This window comes from Homo sapiens, chromosome 16 (genome assembly GCF_000001405.40).
Source record: "Homo sapiens chromosome 16, GRCh38.p14 Primary Assembly".
NCBI classification, from domain to species: Eukaryota; Metazoa; Chordata; class Mammalia; order Primates; family Hominidae; genus Homo; species Homo sapiens.
This window is the reverse complement of record NC_000016.10, coordinates 49814709-49837573: the sequence shown is the minus strand read 5'-3', so window position 1 is coordinate 49837573 and position 22865 is coordinate 49814709. Positions and strand designations below refer to the sequence as shown.

General features: G+C 50.4%; 1 protein-coding gene across 9 annotated transcripts in view, besides 5 other annotated features; it reads left to right on the top strand.

The window, feature by feature from the left end:
- ZNF423 (zinc finger protein 423) overlaps positions 1 to 22865 on the top strand; it is a 371756-nt gene that overhangs the window by 21706 nt on the left and 327185 nt on the right. For 4 of the 9 annotated variants that reach the window (XM_047433804.1, NM_015069.5, XM_006721171.5 and 1 more), the window contains one exon: positions 14836 to 14904. The exons of the other annotated variants lie outside the window; for them this stretch is intronic. In XM_047433804.1, the coding sequence (XP_047289760.1) occupies positions 14836 to 14904 (69 nt within the window). Of the gene's footprint in view, positions 1 to 14835; positions 14905 to 22865 lie in introns of those variants that run through there. 9 annotated transcript variants of the gene reach the window in all.
- Positions 781 to 1610: an enhancer, noted in NCBI's record as "H3K27ac-H3K4me1 hESC enhancer chr16:49869875-49870704 (GRCh37/hg19 assembly coordinates)". NCBI's record gives its function as "activates a minimal SCP1, AML or CMV promoter by ChIP-STARR-seq in naive and primed H9 embryonic stem cells {active_cell/tissue: H9 hESC(naive and primed)}" and the evidence as "EXISTENCE:reporter gene assay evidence [ECO:0000049][PMID:30033119]".
- Positions 1611 to 2441: an enhancer, noted in NCBI's record as "H3K27ac-H3K4me1 hESC enhancer chr16:49869044-49869874 (GRCh37/hg19 assembly coordinates)". NCBI's record gives its function as "activates a minimal SCP1, AML or CMV promoter by ChIP-STARR-seq in naive H9 embryonic stem cells {active_cell/tissue: H9 hESC(naive)}" and the evidence as "EXISTENCE:reporter gene assay evidence [ECO:0000049][PMID:30033119]".
- Positions 8647 to 9194: an enhancer, noted in NCBI's record as "H3K27ac-H3K4me1 hESC enhancer chr16:49862291-49862838 (GRCh37/hg19 assembly coordinates)". NCBI's record gives its function as "activates a minimal SCP1, AML or CMV promoter by ChIP-STARR-seq in primed H9 embryonic stem cells {active_cell/tissue: H9 hESC(primed)}" and the evidence as "EXISTENCE:reporter gene assay evidence [ECO:0000049][PMID:30033119]".
- Positions 15254 to 15791: an enhancer, noted in NCBI's record as "H3K27ac-H3K4me1 hESC enhancer chr16:49855694-49856231 (GRCh37/hg19 assembly coordinates)". NCBI's record gives its function as "activates a minimal SCP1, AML or CMV promoter by ChIP-STARR-seq in naive H9 embryonic stem cells {active_cell/tissue: H9 hESC(naive)}" and the evidence as "EXISTENCE:reporter gene assay evidence [ECO:0000049][PMID:30033119]".
- Positions 15792 to 16330: an enhancer, noted in NCBI's record as "H3K27ac-H3K4me1 hESC enhancer chr16:49855155-49855693 (GRCh37/hg19 assembly coordinates)". NCBI's record gives its function as "activates a minimal SCP1, AML or CMV promoter by ChIP-STARR-seq in naive H9 embryonic stem cells {active_cell/tissue: H9 hESC(naive)}" and the evidence as "EXISTENCE:reporter gene assay evidence [ECO:0000049][PMID:30033119]".

Genomic DNA, 22865 nt, shown 5'->3' with positions numbered 1-22865 from the left:
ATGGCTGGGTTGGGGTGGCATTGCAGGTGGCCTGTTGATGCGTGCACACAGCATGGTGCATGGTTCTTTCTGGGGAGTCCCCAGGGAAAGCCACCGGGGCCTTGTGCTTAAATGACCCCTAAGGTTTGCACAACCTCTGTGCACTGTGTGGTTCCAGAGGCTCTCACAGGCACCTCCAAGTTTCCAGGGAGTAGGTTGTGGGGGTCTGGGGAGGGGTTGTCCCTCTTCATTTGCCAGTTGAGGAAAGGAGTTTCAGAGACGCACACAGCCTTGCCCTGGCTCACACAGCCACGTGTAGCAGGGCCTGTGTCCAGCTGGCAGGCAGGCTGCTCCTTTCCAAGGTCTCCATATCCCATGGACAGGGACCCTGACCCCCAGGCCTCAGCTCGCCAGGGCCCCCTCTGTACATTACTGGGGTGGGAGGTGGAGGGAGATGCTCCATCACTGTCACCCACGTCCCTCAGCCTGGCTTTGCACACTGAGCTGCCCCCATCCCCCAGACATCAAACCAGGCCAGTGAGGAAACAGTTGCTCCAATGTGTCCCGGCGTCCACAGTCCACTTTGAATTGGGAATCTGAGTGGGCTTTATTCTGAATTTCCTGTATCTGTTGGCTCAAAATACCTATTGCTCAGGCTCTCCCAGGGGAATGTAGAGGCCTGTCCTGGGTTCCCAGGGTCTGAGCTCATTTTCCTACTGGGACGTGTTGGACAAGGTTGGGCCTGGTCCCAGACCTCTCTTTGTATCCTGTCCTGCCTTCTTACTAGTAGGAGAGTTCCAAGCCTGCTCTTGTGGAGAGAGGTTCAGTGGGGGAGAAGGAGCATCAGGAGGGGATAAGGGCATTCATGGGGAGTATTTACTGAGGTTATTGTGCGTCCAGGGCTCTCTGAGGGCTTCCTGCACGTGTTCTCATGAATCCCCTCTGCAGCCCTGTGAGGTTGGTACCATTATGTTCGCCATCCTGTGGGTGAGGCAGCTTTGAAGGTCAGCCTGAGGTCCAAGGTCACATGTCACAGTGAGGCTGCCCCATGCCTGGTGCCTGCCTGAGTAACTGCCAGGGTCACTGTCTACACACCTGGTGAGCCAGCACCATGCCGGAATCTTCTCCCAGAGCTCCTGGAGGCAGACTGTAAACTCTGAGGCTGACAACACCTTGATCCCCCGAGACCCAGCTGGTGACTAAGTCCCCCTTCCCTCCATGCCAACCCCCTCCCCCACTGGGCCTGCTCCTGAGGCTCACTTGGGAGAGAAGCAGCTTGGACAGGTTGGAGGTGGAGGATGTCCCAGGCCAAGTCCTGGGACATTTGAGACAGGTGGTGGGCAGGGCTGTACTTGCTTCCTGATTTTTTGGGAACTGCACACCCAGCAAGGTTCAAGGCCTGGCACAACTAGGCCAGCACCTCTGTTCTGCTAGGTGCGAAGTTGGAGGTGTTTGCTGCATTTAAGGTATTTAGGCTGGGGGGGTCCTCCTTTCTACTGTGTTTTCCCCACAAGGCCCCAGGAGTCCAGTTGGCTCAGCTAGGAATCTTAGCTGTGGTTGTCGGGGTAGGTGGCCTTGCTGAGGGATTCAAAACAGGGCCCTGTCCTCTGGGCCTCTCTCTGTCTCCACCCAAACTGCTCCTTGGGCCCAGGACCTGGCCTGGAAGCCTGCCTCTTCTTCCCATCAGCATTTTCCCCGGGGCTTAAGTTGGAACCTGTGGGTGTGTGCCCCTCCTGGGCCCCGTTTTCCCGGCTGCCTGTCAACTGGCACCAACACCCGGGAGCAGCAGCTCCTCTTCCCCTCCCTGCTGAAACCTTACTCCCAGGCACCGGACCCTCTGCATCCTCTGCCCCCCCACCACCTCCTATGCAGGCTTCCTGGAACCTGGGGACCCTGGAGGTTTCTGGACCATATCGAGTTGCTTGGGTGGTTGCGTCCCTTTTTTTTGGGCCATGCCGGGTGGGGGAGCTGGGAGAGAAGCTGATGATTGGGTCAGGCCCAGCCAGGGGTGGAGGCTGCCCACTGGCCCGCATCTCCCCGGAGCAGACTGTGGGCCCCCAGCCCTGTCTCTGAGGGGTCTGTGGCCTGGCTTCCCTTCCTGGCTAGGGGGCGTCGCTGTTTGCCATTTCCTGCCTTCCTCCCTTTTATTTTGCACCAGGTCCCCCAGGAACGCCTCTGCGGGGATGTGGGGCCCATGCTCACCCTTCTTCCCGGTGATGAGGCCTGACTTGGCCTGGCACCGCCACAGTCCTGCTGAGTCTGGGCCCAGGATGGGGTTGTCTGTATTCTTCTCTCCACCCTCCTCAGACCCCACCTCCCGGCTGGACAGCTGGGCTCAAGGCCAGGGCTGAGCCAGGGGGCCAGCACTGATTGAAAGTGCTCCTCACAGACCCCTTGGCTGGGGGCCCATGGGGTGTGGGGGCTCTGGAAGAGGCTGAGGGCCTCAGAGAAGAGGGAGCCCCCCAAGGCCAGGGGGTGGGAGAAAGTGAAGGACTGACTTTCTGGGGCAAGAGCCAAGGCTCAGCCACCCTGGTGTTAATCCGGAGGTGATTCTGAGACTCCCCCCAAGGCCTCAGCAGCCCCTCTGCCGCTCAGCCCTGGCCCCCCAAGGCGCACTGCACACATGGTTTTGCTTTTCCAGGCATCTTCCCCTGGTCCCCTCCCCCTGGGTGCCTTCTCAAGCTCCTTGGCCCCTCCCCCAGCCCTCCTGGGCCCCCTCCTTCCTCCTTGACCCACTTTAGTCCCCTGTTGCTGGGGGAGGGGAGCGCACAGCCGGCGGCTCTGATCCTGGCGCTCTCCCCCAGCATCCCCTGGGGCGGGCTCTGGATGGAGCCTGCAGGCTGAGCCGGCCCGGCCCCAGGGACTGGCACACAGCGTGCTCCGAGTGGCAGCCACCCTGCCCCCTCCGTGGACAGACAGTTCTGGACAGCTGCCCCTGCCCGGGCCCCTGGGAAGCCCTGCCAGGACCAGGCTCCGGTTTCCCCCAACCCCAGGGAGCAGTGGCTCCAGAGGTCCCTCCTACCACCGCCTCCTTGGCGAGCGTGCTTCCCAGAGGGGACGCAGGGCAGGGCCCAGCCCTGGCCTCCACCCATTCTTCCCCTAAATCTCTGCTGGAGAGGCTGGAGCCGGGGTCAAATCCTTTGTCTGCTGTTTATCTGTGTGACTTGGGGAACTCCACCAACCCTCTCTGGGCCTCATCTGTGCATTGAGGGACTTGGAGCAGATAGCTAACCTCCATCAAACACGCCTGTGTTCCCAGGACTGCTGACTACGTTTAGGGTCTCTTTGTATTGTCACAGCACTGTGTTCATGCTGTCTCAATCTGTATTTTCATGATGAGGCAACTGAGGCACCGAGAGAGGAAGTCACTTGTTTGAGGTTATATAGGCTGTATGTAGTGGAACTGCAGGGCCTTAAGCCCAGGCAAGCCTGATGAGATGATTTTTCTTCGCCCTAACATCCTCCAATTGATCCTGACCCTGGGGCTGTTAACTCTTCAGGGACAACCGCCCAGCCCACTGAGGACTTGGGATCTTCACTCTGTCCTGCTCGGGTGTTGGCTGGGTCCCCAAGCCTGCCGCCTGCCCTGTGACAGGCTGTGCGAAGCCAAGGCCACTGCCCGCCCCAGCTGGGAACTCGCTCCATCCTGAGTTCCAGTTCTGTGGTCCAGTGGCCTGACCGAGTACAGGAGCCAAGTGCAAGAGCCAGGATCCAGGAGCGGCCTGGAGTTTCCACCTGCCCTCCCTGCCCTCCCTGCCCACCCAGCCCTGCTGCCCCCCTGCACATGCTCCCCTCCTCCCTTCCCACGAAATCCCTGAAAAACAAGTATAACATATACAGTGGGAAGGTCCTGAGGGGGCTGTTGAAATTTGGGAACCAGTGCTTCCCTAATCTCTGCATTTTCTGTCTTTTCCTTCTTAAGCCTTGACATCTGTCCGTCTTCTGGGAACCTTTTCATTTCACCATCATTGTCTTGCCGAATAAAGGAGGGGGTGGGAGGTGGGAGGGGGCTCTGGGAGCGAAGTCAGGACATCTTTTCTTATTTGCCTAATTTCCTCACTCGAATGTGTCTTGTGATTAAACATTTTCTTAGCGAGCTTGGTTAGGGCCAGGCTGAGTTTCTTTTCATAAACATTGGCAAGTGAATTTAACAGCCCTGTTTGTATTAGCTGGAGGTTTCATTTGCATAGTGATTGTTCTTAGGAAACAAAATAATCGCTTGCAGTTTATGAAACTGTATAAATACCGGGGTCTGGAGCTGGGCGCATGCGTAGGCCTTTGCTCTCGCACGTAAATCCATCCTGTTTGGGGAGGAAATTCAGGCTCCAGGAAGAGCCAAGTGCTGAGGGTTTTCTCTGCGGAGTGGTGTTCCCCTGGCTGGAGTCCTGGGCTCTGGGTGTTGCCTGCTGGGCGGAGCTTGTGAAAGCGGATAAACCTCCCCAAGCTTGTGCGTGGACCCCAGTTCCAATCAGGGTCCCATGAGGGGCCAGGCCTGGTAAGGCTGGGCGAGGAGGAGGGTTGCTCACCTGAGCGCCCACTCCTTTATGTTGCCCTTCCAACCTTTTAGATGAAGGCTGCGAACTGGAGGCTGGAGGCTGAGTGTTGCTCACAGATGTGTTTTGATTGGCTTGCGCTGTGTTTGAAAGAAAGAAATCAACATTGAGAGATTGGAGATGTCACAGAAAAAAATCGGAGTTCTTGCTTCTGTCTCCTAAGCAATGGGTAGATCTGGGACTTCAAGGTCCCCGTTTCAGGCTTGGCTACCATCCTGGGGCTGGGGGTGGTGACTGCTTCTGTAGGTGGGCATGTCTCTTCTGTCCATCACAGTCCAGACCTTGGCTGAAGTCACTCATTGATGTCCCTGCCTGGCCCCTGGGGAATTTAGGGTCCTGCTTGCAGTGGGTCCTCTCAGTTCACCATGTGCCCTGTAGGCTTGAAGTCAGCGATTCACCTGGCCCCTCGGGTGCTCTGTTCTGACCTGTCATAACTGCTCCTGCATCTTTTGGCTGTACCCTTCCCCCTCTTGCCCCACTCAGGACCTGCCTATTTGAGGAGCGCCTATTTGAGGAGCTCTTCCTGGGCCTTCTGGCTTTGCCCCAGTGGCTGTGAGTTCAAGCTCTCCTGATGTCCATATTGGCTGGGGGTGGAGATATGGACAGGGAGTCGCTTTGCGAGGTCACACCCTCATTCCCAGGAGCTTGTCTTTGCTCAGAACATTCCTGGCCTTTTCCTCAGCAGATCTCTCTGGGGCCTGCTACCCCAGAAGACAGGCATTTCATGAGCTCAGAATCTGTTTTTCAGACTCAGGCAGCATCGCCGCCCAGCTCGGTCAGCTGGCTTGGCCCGATTTTGGAATCTACTGGAGTTAAGTGGGCCCAGAATAATACCTGTCCATTAAGGGAATGGTTTGACAAAGCTTCAGGGCTGGAGTTGGATTTCTAGCTAAGGAATGATGCCTGCCCCACACCCCAGATGACCCAGCCTTGGTGGCCAGGGCCCTCGGATATTTGGTGCCTTTATGGAGCCTCCACTTTAGAGGAGGAAAAGTCAGAAGCAACAAAGAAAGCAGGTGAAACTGATGAATACTGGCATCTTCCTTTTTTTTTTTTTTTTGAGATAGTCTTGTTCTGTCACCCAGGCTGGAGTGCTTACTGCAACCTCTGCCTCCTTGGTTCAAGTGATTCTCCTGCCTCCGCCTCCCCAGTAGCTGGGACTAGAGGCACGCCCCACCATGCCTGGCTAATTTTTTTTGTACTTTTTTTTTTTAGTAGAGATGGGGTTTCGCCATGTTGGCCAGGCTGGTCTGGAACTCCTGACTTCAGATGATCTGCCCACCCTGGCCTACCAAAGTGCTGGGATTACAGGCGTGAGCCACCGTGCTCAGACTTTATCAATAATTTCTTCACTGTGCAGCGCTCTTCCCTGTAGTCTGGGTGTCCCAAGTGTCCCCTGGGAGAACAGCTCCTGTTGATCCCTTTGTGCTTCCAGGCCTTCATCATGGACTGCCTTGGGAAGTCACTGGGAGTTTCATGCCCTGTATGGTGGTCTCATGCTGTTCTCACAGCAGCTCCAGCTAATAGTTATATTAGTTCCGCTTTATAGGTGAGGAAACTGAGGCTCTGCGGCCCAAGGTCATACAGCTGCCCGAGGTCACAAACCTGGTAAATAATTGGAGATACTGGGATTTGATCTGCCCTCTTAACCCTGACCCTATATGATTTGTTTCTCCAATTATAAAATAGGGAAAATGAACCCATTTCCTAGGGTTCTTGAAGACAAAGATAAAATAAGTAAAGAGAGATTTACAAAGATAAAATGAATAAAGAAAGATTTCACTGTAGAACATGGACTCAGGCGCTTTGAGGTTTCTTTAACTCTTTATTTCTGGGTGGTGTCATTAAGCATAACGCTTTGTTCTCTTCTCCCCCTGCCTCAGTCTTCATGAGCTGTACTTTGACCATGTCACTGCTCTGGCTCTGGCCAGGTGTTCCCCCTCACACCCTGAGGTTGTGAAATTCCCCTGGGGAGAGGGTTGCATCTCTGATAGTTGGAGCTCCTCTTGGCAGGGAGCGGTGCAGAGAAACCTGCAGGGTCTTCTGGAAAGAGGAAGAGCAAGCAGTCAGGTCAGAAATTCAATTTTGGTGGAACTGGCTGGCTGACACAGGATTGTATCACCTGGGATGCTTCGAGCTGCAAGATGTGCAATCCAAGTTCGGAAAAGCTCAAGCATGAGGGGCTGTGAGATCTCCTAGGATGAGAAGTGTGGAGGAGTGTGGCTGCAGAGAACTTAGCTGAGCAGCTCAGTACTGTCAGCAGAGATCGAGCTGCCTTCTGTCTTTATGCTCTGTCCTGCTCAACTCATTGGCTGGTGCCCTCGGATTTGTCTCCTCATGATGAAGAAATGGCTGCTGTGGTGCCAGACATCACCCCCCGACACATCAGTGTCCAAAGACCAGGAGAGAGAAGCTCCCTGACACAGGCCTGTCTTTAGGGGAAAGATACCTCTCCTAAATGTCCCCATGTTCCCTCCCTTGTATCTCACTGTGTTGACAACGGCATCCCTTGAACATCCTGCACCAATCTCAGGCCAACATACGGAGCTCCCTTTGGAGTTAGTGAATCTGGGGATGTTCAAGCAAAATTTGAATTAGGCCAGCAAGAAAGAAGGAGGGGGAAAGGCTGCTGGGGAGCACCCAGCACTGTCTGGGGGAGCTTGTGTGAGCGGCTGTCTCTTCCCATGCAAGGTTCCGGAGCATCTCCCTCATGTCATGGGAGCTCTCCCTCACATCTCATCAGTCCCCCGGCCTCAACTCATGTCCTAGGACTGTGCCGTTCTTTCCTCTGCATGGCTTTCCCCGTGACTGAGACTCTTCCTCTGTACTAGCCTGCCTGGCTCCTTCTCCTTCTTCTGGACTCAGGTTCAATGTCACCTCTTCTGCGCGGCCTTCCCTGACCCTTCTCCCAAAGTGGGCCCACTGCTGTTACTGTCTCTCTCTTGCTCTTTTTAATGTCATGTGAGTTGTTCTCAGTAGGAATTTATTGATGTATTCACTTGTTTACAGTTCCTTCCTCAGTGGCCGCTCGACTGTCCCCGGACAGGGGCCAGGTTTGACTTGCCCACTCTTGTGTCCCTAGGCTTCAGGAGAAAGGGTTAGTGGGATGGAGAAGGGATTCACAGTGCCTGGCATGTAGTTGGCATTTAGGAGATATTGACTGAATGAAGGAGCCGCTTGTCCCCCATCTTACCTGAATTCCTGTCTCTTTTTTCCTGTTTCTGTCCTCCTCTCCACTGGAGCCCCCACATTTCTTCTTGTTCTTTGAGGAAGAACAAGAACTTCTCCATGAGCCCATGGAGCTGACTTCTCTTGACAGTGTTGGGATTGCTGGCAGGGCTTCTCCAAGGGCCACTTCTGTGAAAAAATCCAATCTGGAGGTAGGGCATGCAGTGGTGAACCTGTGCAGCGGAGTGGGCTGAGGAAGGGAGTCTGGACACAGTTCAGCCGCCTTCCTGGCTGGTAGGTGCCCGCTGAAGCCAGGGGGCAACATGGATGCTGGTCTGGACATCTGGATCTGACCCTTTCTGCACAGGTTTGGTCACTTTGCTCCAGGACAGTTTTTATTTTTGCATTTTTATTTAGAGACAGGGTGTCACTTTGTCACTCATGCTGGAATGCAGTGGTGTGATCATAGCTCACTGCCACCTCCAACTCTCGGGCTCAAAGAAGGAGGGCTCGTTTACACTGCTGGGGACTCCCTCTGTCCATGAGATAGTGGGATCCTTCCATTTCAGGGGTATCTAGCCCAGCCCACTCCTGGGAAAGCAGTTCCGTTGTGAGGATTGCCAATGCCAGATTGTAAGGCTGATCTGGGAGCCAGTTGGTCATTCTACACAACACAGAGGTGGAAAGAGTTGGCTGTGATTCCTTCAAGTTTAACAAGCAATCTGAGTAACTGCCTGGAATAGCCGGCTTGACCATCCCCAGGGCTCAGATGACGTGGGTCTGGGGACAGCCACATGATATGGGTGCTGCTGCATTGTTGGTGTGGGACTGGGGATAGAGGAGAAAACGGCTTGCTCTGGCTGGGTTGGCAACATTGGAGGGTGAATGAGGGCCCAGCGGGAGCAGGGATCAGACCAGGAGGCGAGTGGAACCAGGCTAGAAAGGGTCTTGAAGGCCACAGGCCAGCCTGCCATGAAGCCTCCCTAATTTGAGTCCTCAGCCTGCCAAAAATACGGTTCATTCTCCCTGGGGGTAGAGAAAGAGCCTCCCTGGGTCTCCAGACCTCTCCTCCATAGCCGGTTGTGGGACAGATGATGGCCTTTCTGCGTGTGCGTGGGCGGGACTGTAGTGTATGTACAAGGATCCACACAGGACTCGCCTGGAGCATGGCGCCCGCCCAGGGGCTCTTTGGGGAATTTGTTGGCTGCAGTGTGAGTCTAATGAGCAAAGCATTTGGTGGTGGGTCTGTGGGTTCCCCAACAGGGTTTGGTCTCCCCAAGTCCCTCAAAGTGGAGCTGTTTAAGCTGGCGGAGTCTTTTCTAGGCCCCTGCTGTTGCTTTTAGGGAACTTGCTTATGTTATGTTGCCTTTTCTTTTTCAGTGGGAAGTGTCGGTGTGAGTAATTATATATATTTTCACAAACTCGAACTATGCTTCATTTAAACTTCTATAAACATGTCTGTGTAATTCTAATTAACTGCTCGCATAAAGCCATCACAAGTTACATGGGGAAATGCTCATTTGCCAGACTGTTGCCTAAAAGCCAAGGAAAATATTATGTTCTTCCAACAAACGGACTATTCATGTAGACTGTTACCAAGATAAACAGGAGATATTTGAGGACAAGTGAGATTCTAAGCAGCGATGGCTGAGCCTCCCGTAAGTGGTGTTATTCAGGGTTGGCAGGGTGGGTGGCTTGATTGAGTGATAAATGCTCTTCAAGAAAAATGCCTGAATTTGGAATGTGGGGTCAGGACCCTGGAGATGGGCCATCTGGTGGTGCTCTTTGGGCAGGAGGCCACTGTGAATTTCGTGAAAAGTCTGAATCGGAGAAGAGTCAACGAAATGGCTTGCACTTGTACTTCCAGGAAGTTCTTTTAGCAGTTCATACTAGGGTCACTAAGAAAGTGTGTAAAAAGAGATTCTTGGGGCTGCTTTAATAAATGTGTAAGAGTGATTTCAAGTTAATCATTCAGACTGGGCATGGTGGCTCACGCCTATAATCCCAGGGTTAGGGGATATTCTACCCCCAGAAAAAGAATGGAATAGCTCTTTCTCTACCCCCACTGAAAAAAAAAGGCAACATAACAATTTTTCCGGAGGCCGAGGCAGTAGGATTGTTTGAAGCCTGAAGTGTGAGACCAGCCCAGGCAACATAGACCCTATTGCTACAAAACATAAAAATGCAAAAATTAGCCTGGCGTGGTGGCACATGCCTGTAGTCCCAGCTACTCGAGAGGCTGAGGTGAGAGAATTGCCGGAGCCCAGGAGCTCAAGGCTTCAGTAAACTATGATTGAGCCGCTACACTCCAGCCTGGGAGATAGAATGAGACCCCAACTCAAAAAAAAAAAAAGTTAGCTGTTCATTCATTCATTCTTCCATCCAATCAAGTATTACTGAGCGTCTGTCGTGTCCCAGACTAGGTAGGGTTCTTGCTGCTGCAGTGAGAAACATCCAAACCCCTGCCCTCCTGGAGCTGATGTTCTGCTTGTTGTTGTTGGTAACCAGACAAGGAAGTGAAATGTATACAGTTTGTCAGAGACGAGGGCTCAGGAAGACAAGGAAGGATGAGGGGTGGGGGAACTGGTGAAGACTGTCTGGTGTGTTTGAGGAGGGATGAGGCGGGGGCCTGCTCTGTGGCTGGAGGCTGGAGCGAGCAGGTGATCGGGAGAAGTGGGTGATGAGGTCAGATGGCTGACCTGGGCCGGGAGATGTATCTCTTTTATTTTATGCGGAAGATGTTTCTGAGCTGCTTGGCAATTATATTTTTTAATATCTTTTCCTTCACAGAATGGTAAAGTCCTTAAAATGTTGCAATACTTGCTCAATTGCAGCAGATAAGAATACTACACAAAACTATAGAGAAGAAAATCAAACCCTCCGGAATGTCCCCCTGAAGAGGACCACTGTTGCAGCGGGGACCCTCCTTTCAGGCATCCTCATTTTATCATGTCCCTTTGCTTTCTTCCCCAGTGGCCTTTTCAAAGGTCAGAGAGAAATGCTTAGTCAAACCCCTACTTGAGTATCACAGGTGACTAATTTTGGGATCGAAGATTAAGGAGGTTTTGTTGCGTCCTTAAAGAACTTGGAATTGGAGTCCAGGTAGTTTTGGTAAGTCATCAACAGCTGGAAAGAACTGTCGGAAAGTGACTCACTTTCAGGCTGATAGTTCTGTGTAGAAAACATTCCCTGTAATGGTGAACATGTATTGATTCCTTCCTGCGTCCCAGGCACTAGACATAAGCAGTCCCTATTCAGTTCTTTCGATTCTCACAGCAACTCTATGAGGTTGGTGCTGTTATTCTTATTATCACAGGCAAGGAACAGGGTTAGGGAGGGTAATGACCTTCCCCAATCACACAGGTGGTTAGGGACTGGGACCTCAACATCAGAGTCCTGGCTCTGGGCAGGAGTTAAGGTTGAAGATGCCATGAATCAATCCAGCCTGACTTGTTCCCCTTCCCCTTAACTGCATTTTGGGTAGCCCCTGCTGCTGCGTGCCCTGGCCATGTTGAGAGCTTTGCCTCTCTCATTTGCTCTTAAGAAAGGCATCTTGGAAGGTTCTCTTTGAGTCCTCTGGGCTGGATTGACCAGAGACAGATGTAATAATGCACATCAAAGCCCATCCCTGGCATGTGACAGCCCTTTCTTTTTTATTTTTTGAGACAGGGTCTTGCTCTTTCACTCAGGCTGGAGTGCAGTGGTACAATCTCCGCTCACTGAAGCCTCGACCTCCCGGGCTCAAGCAGTCCTCTGGCCTCAGCCTCTTGAGGAGCTGGGACTACAGGTGCATGCCACCACACCTGGCTAATTTTTGTATTTTTTGTACAGATGGAGGTTTCACTATGTTGCCTAGGCTGGTCTCGAACTCCTGGGGTCAAGAGATCCACCTGTCTTGGCCTCCGAAAGTAATGGGATTATAGGCGTGAGCCACCACACCTGGCCAGCCCTTTTCAATAAGCAAGAGATTTTATTATTAGTACATTCTTCTGAAACCTTGTTGGTCCCTCGGAAAGGGCCTGGAACCGCCTGTGTCTTAGGGGGCTGGATGGATTAGGTCTGGATGTTATGGTCTGTTTCTGACCACTTCGTTCATTCACGCCCTCGCTCATTGATATTGAGGTGTGATTTTTCCAGCAAGAGAGTCCCCTGGTCTCAAGTTTCCGGAGGCACCCACTACAATCTAGATTCCAATTAGCTTAATTGCTTCATATTAGACTTCTTAGAAAAGATTTTTTTTTTCTTGCTGATGGCTGCCTTTCCAGGAATGTCTCCCCCACTGCCTTCCTTCCTGCTTCTTCCAAGCTTGTTTCTTTCAACTTTATTTCTCTGGTACTGACCTGCACCTCAGTCCTGTTAGACCCGGTGCCATTGTGTCAGTTTACATCTGAGAGGCCAAAGTGACACCAGGAAAAAAAAAAGTATATATTATATATATGTATGGAGAGAAAGAGAGAATGGGAGCTTATATATCCCATGTATGTAAAATTACATGTGTTATTTTTAAATAGAAAATTTCTTTTTAGGGTGTGTGTATGTTTCAGTGAAAGAACTGGACACAAAACCTACCCAGAGTTCTGACCCTATCTCTCTTCCTTTTGCCATCAACACCAGATTTTTTAAAAAGTAATTTTCAACAACCAAAGGAAACAGTTACATCCTGATTGACACACAGGATGTCGGAGCAGCATTCTTGCTGTTAAGTGATCAGGATTTCAGCCAAGGGAATATAATGAAATCCACATAAAAATTTATTTACCTAATGAAAATCCTGGAGTAATGCATAAGTGGTTCTCTGATAATAAAATGCAAATCTAAAACTATAACCAGGAGGACAATAATCTTCATTAAATGTATTGTCTAGAGGAAGCCTGTGACATCTACTTAACAGTGATTTGATTTGTTTAGTAATTTCCACGTAATATTTAAACTTTATTTCGAGTCTTAAAAACCAGCCCACGAGTTTCTTTTGCATCAGAGAGGAGGGCAGCTGCTGGTGGGTGGAGGTGCCCGCCCATTGGATTCTCAGGGCCTCTGCTTACGGGGCACCCTGGAATCTCGTCCTTTTCTGGGCAGCGTGGCATTTGGTGGAGAGGCGGGGTCCAGGAAGGGAAAGCAAGGGGTCAGGTTTCCTTCTGGAGTGAGACCCAGAAAAGCTCCTGTTCTGCAGGAAAATGGCATTTGAGGCTTAGAAAGGCTTGGAGATGGGAAGTGACTCGCCCAAGTTTATCTTGGAGCTCTGGTGGTGCCCAGGTCTCCTGGCTCCCCACCCAGTGCTCCTGCCTTCCTGAAATCTGGCCAGAGCTGAGGATTTGAGTGCCACTCTCCTGCCACTCAGGCTCTGTGTAGCATCTCTGTAGCTCTCTCTCCTGGCCTGAGACCACTTAGCAACAGCACACCTCCCCCACCCCCAACTTGGTATTGGCATGATTGGAAGTTGCAAGCAGGGTGGAAGTGCTTTGGAAGCAGGCTGACCTGGGTTCAAAACCTGGCTCTGTCTCTTGTCACCTGAGGAACCATGGGCCTGTACCTTACTCTCTGTGAGGCTCAGGGTCCCTACCTGTGACAGGGGGGCTCTAATCTCTACCTTTGGGACTGCTGGGAGGACTCTGAGGAAGCGTGTGCAGTGTCTGGCTGGAGACGCAATGCCTGGCTGTGGGCTTAGAAGTCTCTTGGGTAGCTTAGAAGCATGATAGGGAATAATTTATTTTGGGACATTCCCCCCCAGTTTTGACACTAATAATCTAAACCCTAGATGAGAAAAACTACCCTTTTGGATTAAAAAAAAATTTTTTTTGAGATGTTATCACTCTGTCATCGAGGCTGGAGTGCCGTGGCATTATATGGCTCACTGTAATCTCCACTTTCTGGGCTCAAGCGATCTTCCCACAGCCTCCTGAGCAGCTTGGGACTACAGGTGTGTACCAAATTTTTATTTTTTTTTGTAGAGAGGTCTCACTATATTGCCCAGGCTGGTCTCGGACTCCTGAGCTCAAGTGATCCTCCTACCTCTGTCTTCCCATGGGATTACAGGTGTCAGTCACTGTGCCCGGCCCCTTTAACACAAAATCCCAGATACATGACAGATGAAGCCTGTTGGTGTGTGTACATGTGCAAGTGTGTATGTGTGTGTGTGTATTTTCCCTCCACATATCACGGTAACTTCGCAGATTACCCAACCTTCCTCTTACTGTCTCCTCTGCCTCCTTCTTCTCCTTTTTTTTTCCCCCAACAAGTTATAACTTTTTTCTTTCCCTTTCGGAATGTTGCAGAGCATTTTGAAAAAATATTAAAACAAATTATCCATAATCTCAAGCAAGAATCTCCTTCCAAGGGCAGCATAGGACTCTGGTTAGGAACACAGGCCTGTTCAGACACCAGCTTTGAGCTTACCAGCTAGCTGTGCACCCTCGAGCAACTTCCTTATCCTCTCTGAGCCTCAGTTTCCTTGCCTGTGATGCAGCATTAACACTCGTTTTTTTCTGCACAGCTGTGAAGATTAAACAAGATAATGTGTGTAAAGTGCTTAGCAGAGTGTCTGGCACTTAGTCAGTGATTGATAAATGGGAGCTGTTTTGTTGTTGCAAGAGAAAAGGTTGCTCTGAACAGAAGCCCCGTGAAATGGAGAAGTGAGGCTTCTGTCCAGGTAGTGATGCCAGCCGACCAGCAGGCCAGCCAGGCATAATGGCTTGAGTTTCCATCCAAGGGCTGGCTCAGGTTACTCCTGGCCCATTAGCATCGCTGGTGAGAGCTTGGAGCTTCTTAAGTTCAAGGTCGATCACAGGCCTTGTCCCCGACTCGGGCCTCTCTGCTTTGCCCAGAGTCATTAGTCACCAGGGTGGTCTGAAGAGAAGGTGAGGATGCCTTAGGGCCTCCTATCCTGACCTCTGGGCCATACCCCAGGGAAGGACCTTGCTCAAGACAGGGGATCAGCCATCCAGAGGCTTTGAAAATTCACTTGTGTATCTGGAAAAGCAGTTAAATCCTGGCTGCGTAGATGACTACCTGGGCAAGTCGTTAAGTAGTCTGAGCCTCAGTTTGCTCATCTGTCAAATGGGTATACAAGTGTTATTTCACCAGGAGATTGCACATGCTTACTAGCCTGCAATAAGAAATTTTGTATTTATTCCCCCAGGAAAACTTCCTGGAGAAGGATGGATTTTACCCTGTAAAAGAAGAAAGACATGGATGCATAAGAAGAGGGGTGAGCAGGGGAGGCCTTGGGCTGAGGGGTGGGGCAAGGGAAGTAGGCAGACAGAAGGAGCTCGAACTAGAGCTTAGTTCTCTTGGACAATGTGGGTCTCATCCCTTCTGACTCAGCTAGGGGCCTTGCCTGGGGAGGATGAAGGAGCAACATCATCTTGACCCCATCTAACTTGGATTTAAAAATTCCTGCAGGGGGCCGGATGTGGTGGCTCATGCCTGTAATCCCAACATTTTGGGAGGTTGAGGCAGGTGGATCGCCTGAGGTCAGGAGTTCGAGACCAACTTGGCCAACATGATGACTCCCTGTCTCTACTAAAAACACAAAAATTAGCCAGGCGTGGTGGTGGGCACCTGTAATCCCAGCTACTTGGGAGGCTGAGGCGTGAGAATCACTTGAACCTGGGAGGCGGAGGTCACAGCAAGCTGAAATCACGCCACTGCACTCCAGCCTGGGCAACAGAGAGAGACTCCATTTCAGAAAAAAAAAAAAAAAATTCCTGCGGGGGTGACTTAGGCAAACGGGTTGTCATTTCAGCCCAAATACTCCCACAGTCTCCTGTATCAGGAGATCCTGCCCACGTGCTGTTGGAATTCACCAGCCAACCAGGGACTGCTGGAGTGTTTCTTCTTACTCATCTTCGGCTTTCCCAGCTCTTTCCTCTAGCAGGATAGGGATGTGGAAGTGATTGAACCTTCTCCGGGAGAGAGAGGAAGACCCAACTGGAGGCATTGAATGCATCCCCCAGAGGCCCTTTCATGGTTGTGCACAGCAGACCTCACCGCCTTTGAGCACAGCCTTGGAGGCTGCAGAGGGTCTGGGCTGTCGGGGGTGGTAATAAATACCCTGAGGCCTGGGGAGCCCCGTGTGGCCTCCTTCCCTGGGCCCACAGAAGGGCCTGAGTGACAGCCAGGCTCGGCCTTCGCACACACCGGGGGAGGGAAAAAGAGAGCAGCAGGGGCAGAGGAGGGGGCTGCCAGGCAGGGACAAAGGCAGAGACAGGGAGAAACAAAGGAAGAGAGAAATCTCTTCTTGTTACAACCTGTGGTTTAAAGAAAAATGTGCTTTGCCACCCCTGAAGGCCTTAGAGTGAGACCCTCCGTTCATCTGGTCACAGAGCAGGACTTTTCACTTTGCAGACCACGCCTCGAGCCCAGGTGTGGGACCCTCATCCTGTGCGTTCTTCTGGGCCTGAAGCTTCCTCCACTTAAGCTTGCATGGAATCAGTTGGAAATGGGAAGAATCAGAGGCAATCATCTGCTGCCAAATTTGGGAGCAAACATTTTTCTTTCTGGATTTAAATAATTGCATTGCCTCCCCAGCTCTGGTTCTCTTCTAAAGCCAGCCCCAGATGACATTTGGCAGGCTATCCATGGTCTGGCTCCCCATCGCCCCCCGCCCCTGCCCCCGCCCCACCACCCTGTGGGGTTTTCTTAGAATATTTTCCTCCGCGTCTGGGTAGCTGGCTTTTAAACCCGTTCAGTTTTTCTTTTTTTTCTTGTTCAGGTCTCAAATTTTATTAAATTTAAATTTTATTCCATTTCAGGCTATAAAATCTCCAAAAGTGGCTTTGAAAGTGAACAGGTTTTGGCATGCTGGAAATAGGTTACCTCCAATGCAAATAAAAGAGTCTAGCTTCCGAGGCGAACAAGGCTCCAAGGGTTGGGAAAATGCGTGGAGCAGTTAGAGACTGTGGCATAGAAATGGTCAGAGACCAATTTAAAAGCACATATATTTTAAATGAAACATTTTGTGGACATATGGAACCCATAGCTTTTGCCAAAAGCCCAATTGTGGGGATCAAGTCTTAAGAGCTAAACTTCAATCTACTACCCAAGGTGATTTTTAACAGACAAATGAAAGCTCCTTTTTGCTTTCTAGTCTAAGGGGAATCTTAATACATTTTTAAATTATTTGGCATTTTGAATTAATTTTCTTAGAATGAAACGAGATTCTTAAATTGGGATCTTGTAGGGAAAAGACAGCCAGGTAATTAGTGAACTGATCTCCTTTCCTGACACACGAATGCAAGGGGGAGGGGGAGAGTTGAACTCCAACCAAGGTGCACACAAAATCTATTTTAGAGCAAAAATTTCAAAGTAAGCAACACCATCTGTTCTTTAATTATTTCTCCTTATTAAAAAAATGTAGCTAAATTTATTTGGGTTACTTAGTTGGAAAGAAATGTCTTTAAGACACTCAGAACTGGAGCTATTAAAGTCAGATTGTCAGCTCTTGTTTGCTAGGTATCCAAGAACTGAAAATAGTAAAGGCATTTTAGCATTGACTTTCTTTTCCAACAGAGCTTCCTCTTGGTTAAGCAGGACATGGTTATCCAAGGCCTAGCGGATATTCCTCTGCTGCTCATATCTTGGGGCAGGGGCTATGGGATTAAGCAGAGGGTTCATGCTCTAGCAGGTCAATCAAGGGAGGTAGGGGGTCTGCCTTCAAGAGGAGTTAGGCCACTGGGAGTCTCTGCCCCTTTCGGAGTTCTTGCCATTCAGCTCACTGTCCATCCTTCCATTCATCTGTCTGTCCGTCCGTCCGTCTGTCCATCCATCTGTCCATCCATTCATCCATCCACCCATCCATCCATGCATCCATCCATCCATCCATCCATCCATCCATCCATCCATCCATCCACCTATTCAACAAATATACCTTTAATAATACTCCTAACCTACAAACATCAGGGCTTAGCGAGCTTATCTTAACATACTTGGAACACCTACATTAGCCTACAGTTGGGCAAACTAATCTAACACAAAGCCTATTTTATAATAAAGGGAAGAATATCTCATGTAATTTATTGAGTACTGTACTGAAGTACAGTTTCTACTAAATGTGTGTTGCTTTCATACCATTGTGAGGTTGAACCATTGCACGTCTAAACACTTTAAGTCAGGGACCATCTGTAATCAGATACTCATGGATGGGCTCATTCCTGTAATCTAGCACTTTGGGAGGCCAAGGCGGGTGGATCACCTGAGGTCAGGAGTTTGAGACCAGCCCGGCCAACATGGTGAAACACTGTCTCTACTAAAAATACAAAAATTAGCCAGGCAAAGTGGTGGGTGCCTGTAATCCCAGCTACTTGGGAGGCTGAGGCAGGGAGAATCGCTTGAACCTAGGAGGCGGAGGTTGCAGTGAGCTGAGATCACATCACTGCACTCCAGCCTGGGTGACAGAGTGAGATTCTGTCTCAAAAAAAAAGATACTCGTGGATGAGCCTATGATTACTAACAGTAACATGTGCTCTAGAGTCTAGACCAGTGCTGTCCAATAGACCTTTTGGTGAAGATGGAAATATTCTATATCTGTACTGTCCAATATGGTAGCCACTAGCCACATATGGGTTTTGAGCATTTGAAACCTGGCTAGTGGGACTGAGGAACTGCCATTTTTTTTTTTTTTTTTTTTGAGACGGAATCTCACTCTGTCACCCAGGCTGGAGTGCAGTGGCACGATCTCTGCTCACTGCAAGCTCCGCCTCCCGGGTTCACGCCATTCTGCCTCAGCCTCCCGAGTAGCTAGGACTACAGGCACCCACTACCACGCCCGGCTAATTTTTTTGTATTTTTAGTAGAGACGGGGTTTCACCATTTGGCCAGGATGGTCTCTATCTCTTGACCTCGTAATCCACCGGCCTCAGCCTCCCAAAGAGCTGGGATTACAGGCATGAGCCACTGCACCCGGCCAGAGCTGCCATTTTAAATTTGATTTAGTTAAAAAAATTAAAAATATTTATTTTAACAATATGTATTTATTATTATTATTTTTTTAGAGACAGGGTCTTGCCCTGTTGCCCAAGCTGGAGTACACTGGCATGGTTACAGCTCATTGTAGTTTTGAACTCCTGGGCTCAAGTGATCCTCTCATCTCAGCCTCTGGAGTAGCTGGGACTACAGGCGTTCACCATCACACTCAGCTAATTTATTTTTATATTTTAAGAGATGAGATCTCTCTATTTTGCCCAGGTAGGTCTTGAACTCTTAGCCTCAAGGGATCCTCCCACATCAGCCTCCAGAGTAGCTGGGATTACAGGTGAGAGCCACTGCACCCAGTTCTTTTTTATTTATTTTTAGACATGGGGTATCTCTGTGTTGCCCAGGCTGGAGTGCAGTGTCTATACACAGGTGCAGTCACAGCGCACTATAGACTTGAACTCCTGGGCTCCAGTGATCCTGCTGCCTCAGCCTCCCGAGTAGCTGGGACTATATGCATGCACCACCATGCCCAGTTTGATTTACTTTTGGTTAATTTTTATTTAAATACTCACATGAGGGTAGTAGCGACTGTATTGGACAGCATGGGGTCAGCCTCACCTGGGAACTTGGTAGCAATGCAGATCCCCGGGCCCTATCCAGGTTCTGCTGAGTCAGAATCTCTGTGGGCGCCCGGGCATCTGAGTTTCAGCAATCCCTCCAGGTATTTTTATATGGCTTTGCTCTAGGAAAGGTAGGTGTGGGTGTGATGCTATCATGCGATCCATTCTGGGGGGCGGTGCATCAAGGAGTAGGGGAATTAGATTTCAACTGCACAGAAGCCTTCTGAGAAAAAGGACTGATGAGCTGTGACTGAGACATGAGTAGCGAGGTGACCATGGCAGGCCTGGCACTGGATGGGCCTTTGGTGGTGATGGAATACAGCTCACCATGCCCAGCAGTGGGGAGGGCTTGGCACAGTTGACGAACTCAAAAAAGGTCAGAATGTTGGAGCGAAGAGATGGAGCATTTGTGAACTGGCGGGTTGGAGGCCTGGTACTGCAGCTGTGTGATCCTGAAATGGTGTCTTAACCTCTCTGGGCCTCGTATTCTCTTCATTGATAAAATGGAGCTAACCACACCTTGCGACACACTCATCTAGTAGGGTCAAAAGATGGATAGACTCAAACTGCATGGACAAAGCATGCATGTGCACAACAGAAACCCTGGGATAAGTGACATGGTGGTCTTGTTTCTTACTGAGTTTTCTTTGTTCTCTAACTGCACTGTCCCCATTTCTCCTACCTTCAGGGTCTCAGCTCTGCCTGAGCACCTCCTGCCCAGCACCACTCTCCCCAGCTGTCCTCAATCAGGCTAAGGCGGTATCAGGCGTTCTGTGTGGCTCTGGACCCGCACCCTGGTCTGATGGGACCTGTGTTCCTGTTGCTGCTCTGCATTTCCTTCCTGGAAAGTCCTCCCCAGGCCTCTGCGTCTCTTTTATTGGGTTTATAATCTCAGGGGCCCTTTCCAGACCCTCATCTGGAAGCCCAGGATGGGCCCAGAGAGTGGACTTCTGCAAGTGCACGTTAAAATCAGATGTAACCAAATGCCTTTTGGGGAAAGACTTCATAGTAATTTTAGCAGCATCTTTTCTGTTGTCTAGACCTAAGATCAGCATTTTAGGGAAAAGTGTCGAGGTAAACTTTCCCCTGCCTCCCCCTGCTCTCCCCTCTCCGCTGCTAGGACTCCGTGCAAGGCCCTCCCTCTAGGACGTCAGGTGGCCAGAGCCTCAGGCGTGCCCCAGCTACTTGGCAGCCAAAAGTTTTGTCCATGGAAGATGCCAGACTTATTTCGAGATGGCAAATGTGGCGATGCTTCTCTGCTGGAAAGACACCAAGTGTCTGATCTCAGCCTTGGGAGTGGTATTTTGGGGAGATATTAGCAGCTTCTTATCTAAAATAGACACATGCTTTTCTTCACCCTCTCAAAAGCCTTTGCAGTCAACTGTGTCCTCAGTACTTGGGATGGTGCCTTGAGCATACTGATTGCTCAGTATAGGTTAGTTATTGCTACCGTTATTGTTATTATTATTACTTTGTTTTTCCAGGACTGAAGCATTGCTTAGGCCTCTCCTCTAGACTAAGACATTTACAATAAACGCTTTGGAATCTTCCTTTTTTTTGAGACAGGGTCTCGCTCTGTCACCCAGGCTGGAGTGCAGTGGCATGATTATAGCTCACTGCAGCCTCAACCTCCCAGGCTCAAGCAATCCTCCCACCTCAGCCTCCCCAGTAGCTGGGACTACAGGTGCGTGCCACCATGCCTGGCTAATTTTTAAATTTTTAGTAGAGATGGGGCCTCACTATGTTGCTTAGGCTGGCAACTCCTGGGCTCAGGCAATCCTCCTTCCTCAGTCTTCCAAAATGTTGGGATTACAGGCATGAACCACTGCATCCTGCCTGAATCTTCTTTTTAAAAGAATATCCAGGGAGAGCACTGTTTGACTAAAAGGAATTAGTAGCTAATGGTGGAATTTTAGTCACCTGGGCAAGACATTGCTTTATAGGGAAAAGTACTTTCCAAGCACCTCTCATGTCATTTTAGCTCAATGACAAAACAAACAAACAAAAATACTCAGGACCTGCTTTGAAATCCTGGGGGAAGGTTGCAGTCTGGGAACCCGAGGAGCGCATCCAGTGTCAGGATCATTTTGTTTTCTTGGCTGCTCAGGATTAAAATTTGTTTTTGGCTAGGCACAGTGGCTCACGCCTGCAATCCCAGCACTTTGGGAAGCCAAAGCAGGTGGATCGTGGGAGCCCAGGAGTTCAAGACCAGCCTGGCCAACATGGTGAAATCCTGCCTCCACTAAAAATACAAAAATTAGCCCGGCGTAGTGGCGGGCGCTTGTAATTCCAGCTACCCAGGAGGCTGAGGCAGGAGAATCGCCTGAGCCTGGGAGGTGAAGTTTGCGGTGAGCTGAGATTGTACCACTGCACTCCAGCCTGGGCAACAGAGTGAGACTTTGTCTCAAAAAAAAAAAAAAAAAAAAAATATATATATATATATATATATATATATATATATTTTTTTTTTTTGTTTGTTTGGAATTAGAATGTAACACTTAAAATTCAGGAAAGTATGCACAAAAATCCAGATTTCTAGCTGTTCTTCAAAGCAATCAGGAGATCAAGTTCCTGTACAGTGAGGATGGGCTGGTGCTGCCTGCTTATACCCAAGCCTGCGTGCTCTGTTCCTCGTACCTATGACTCCCTGTTGTGTGCATCAAGCCTTCCTTACCCTTTAATGTTACCTGGCTGGCCCTGAAGGCCTCAAGGTTGCCAGTACTCCGAGGATTGAAAGAGCTGGGCAGTGCTGCCCTGCCAGAGTCTGCCTGGAGCTCCTGGACCAGCCCTGCCTCCTGTTTGCTGTGTGACTTGGCACCCGTCATACCACTTCCCTGTGCCTCAGCTTTCCCATCTGTCCAGTGGGGCACTAGACTGAGTTGGCAGTTTCCCACTGTGCCTGATGAAGCAGAAGCAGGTGCCAGGCCCCCTACTTCCCTTGTGAATGAGGTCTGTGCCTTAGATTTCTCATGGAAAGTTAGGGAACTCCCAGATAACTTCCTGTCCTGACCCCGTATCGAGATCTTTGTGCAGCTGCTGCTTAGGGGGCTGCTTTTTTTGGTTCGTTTTGGTGGAGCAGCTGGGGGTATCAGGGCAGGAAAGGGAAAATAATAGTGTTATTAATAAGAATGGCCAAATTTACTGAGCAGCCTATTCTCCCACTAAGGTAGGCCCTCTTTGACCCATTTTACTGATAAGAAACTCAAGTTCTGAGAGTCTGAGTAACTTGCCGAAGTTCACACAGCTGATGAGCGGCCGAGCCCCGCTGTGAGCCTGGTTGGTTTCATCCCAGACCCTGAGGCCCTAACCAGCAGGCTGCCCTCCCCGACGTGGCTTGGGAGGTGGCATTCTAGGACACACGTGTGGGAAAGAGGAGGTCAGGAGAGATGCCCGCTGCAGAGTTGAGATGGCCAGTGCTCTGGGGCTGCTTCAGAAGAGACCTGACCGCCTCCTGTCGCCTCCGTCTTGCTGGCCATCCACACTCCTGGGGTGGGGGATGCCACCTCCTCCTGGCTCCCTGCTCACATGCCAGGCTCACCCCTATCAGAGCCCTGTTTTGGGTCATGCTCCTGGGTTTGAATGAGGTAGATAAATGGGGTGCTAGGCCTGTCGAGCTGTAAACTCATTGCGGATT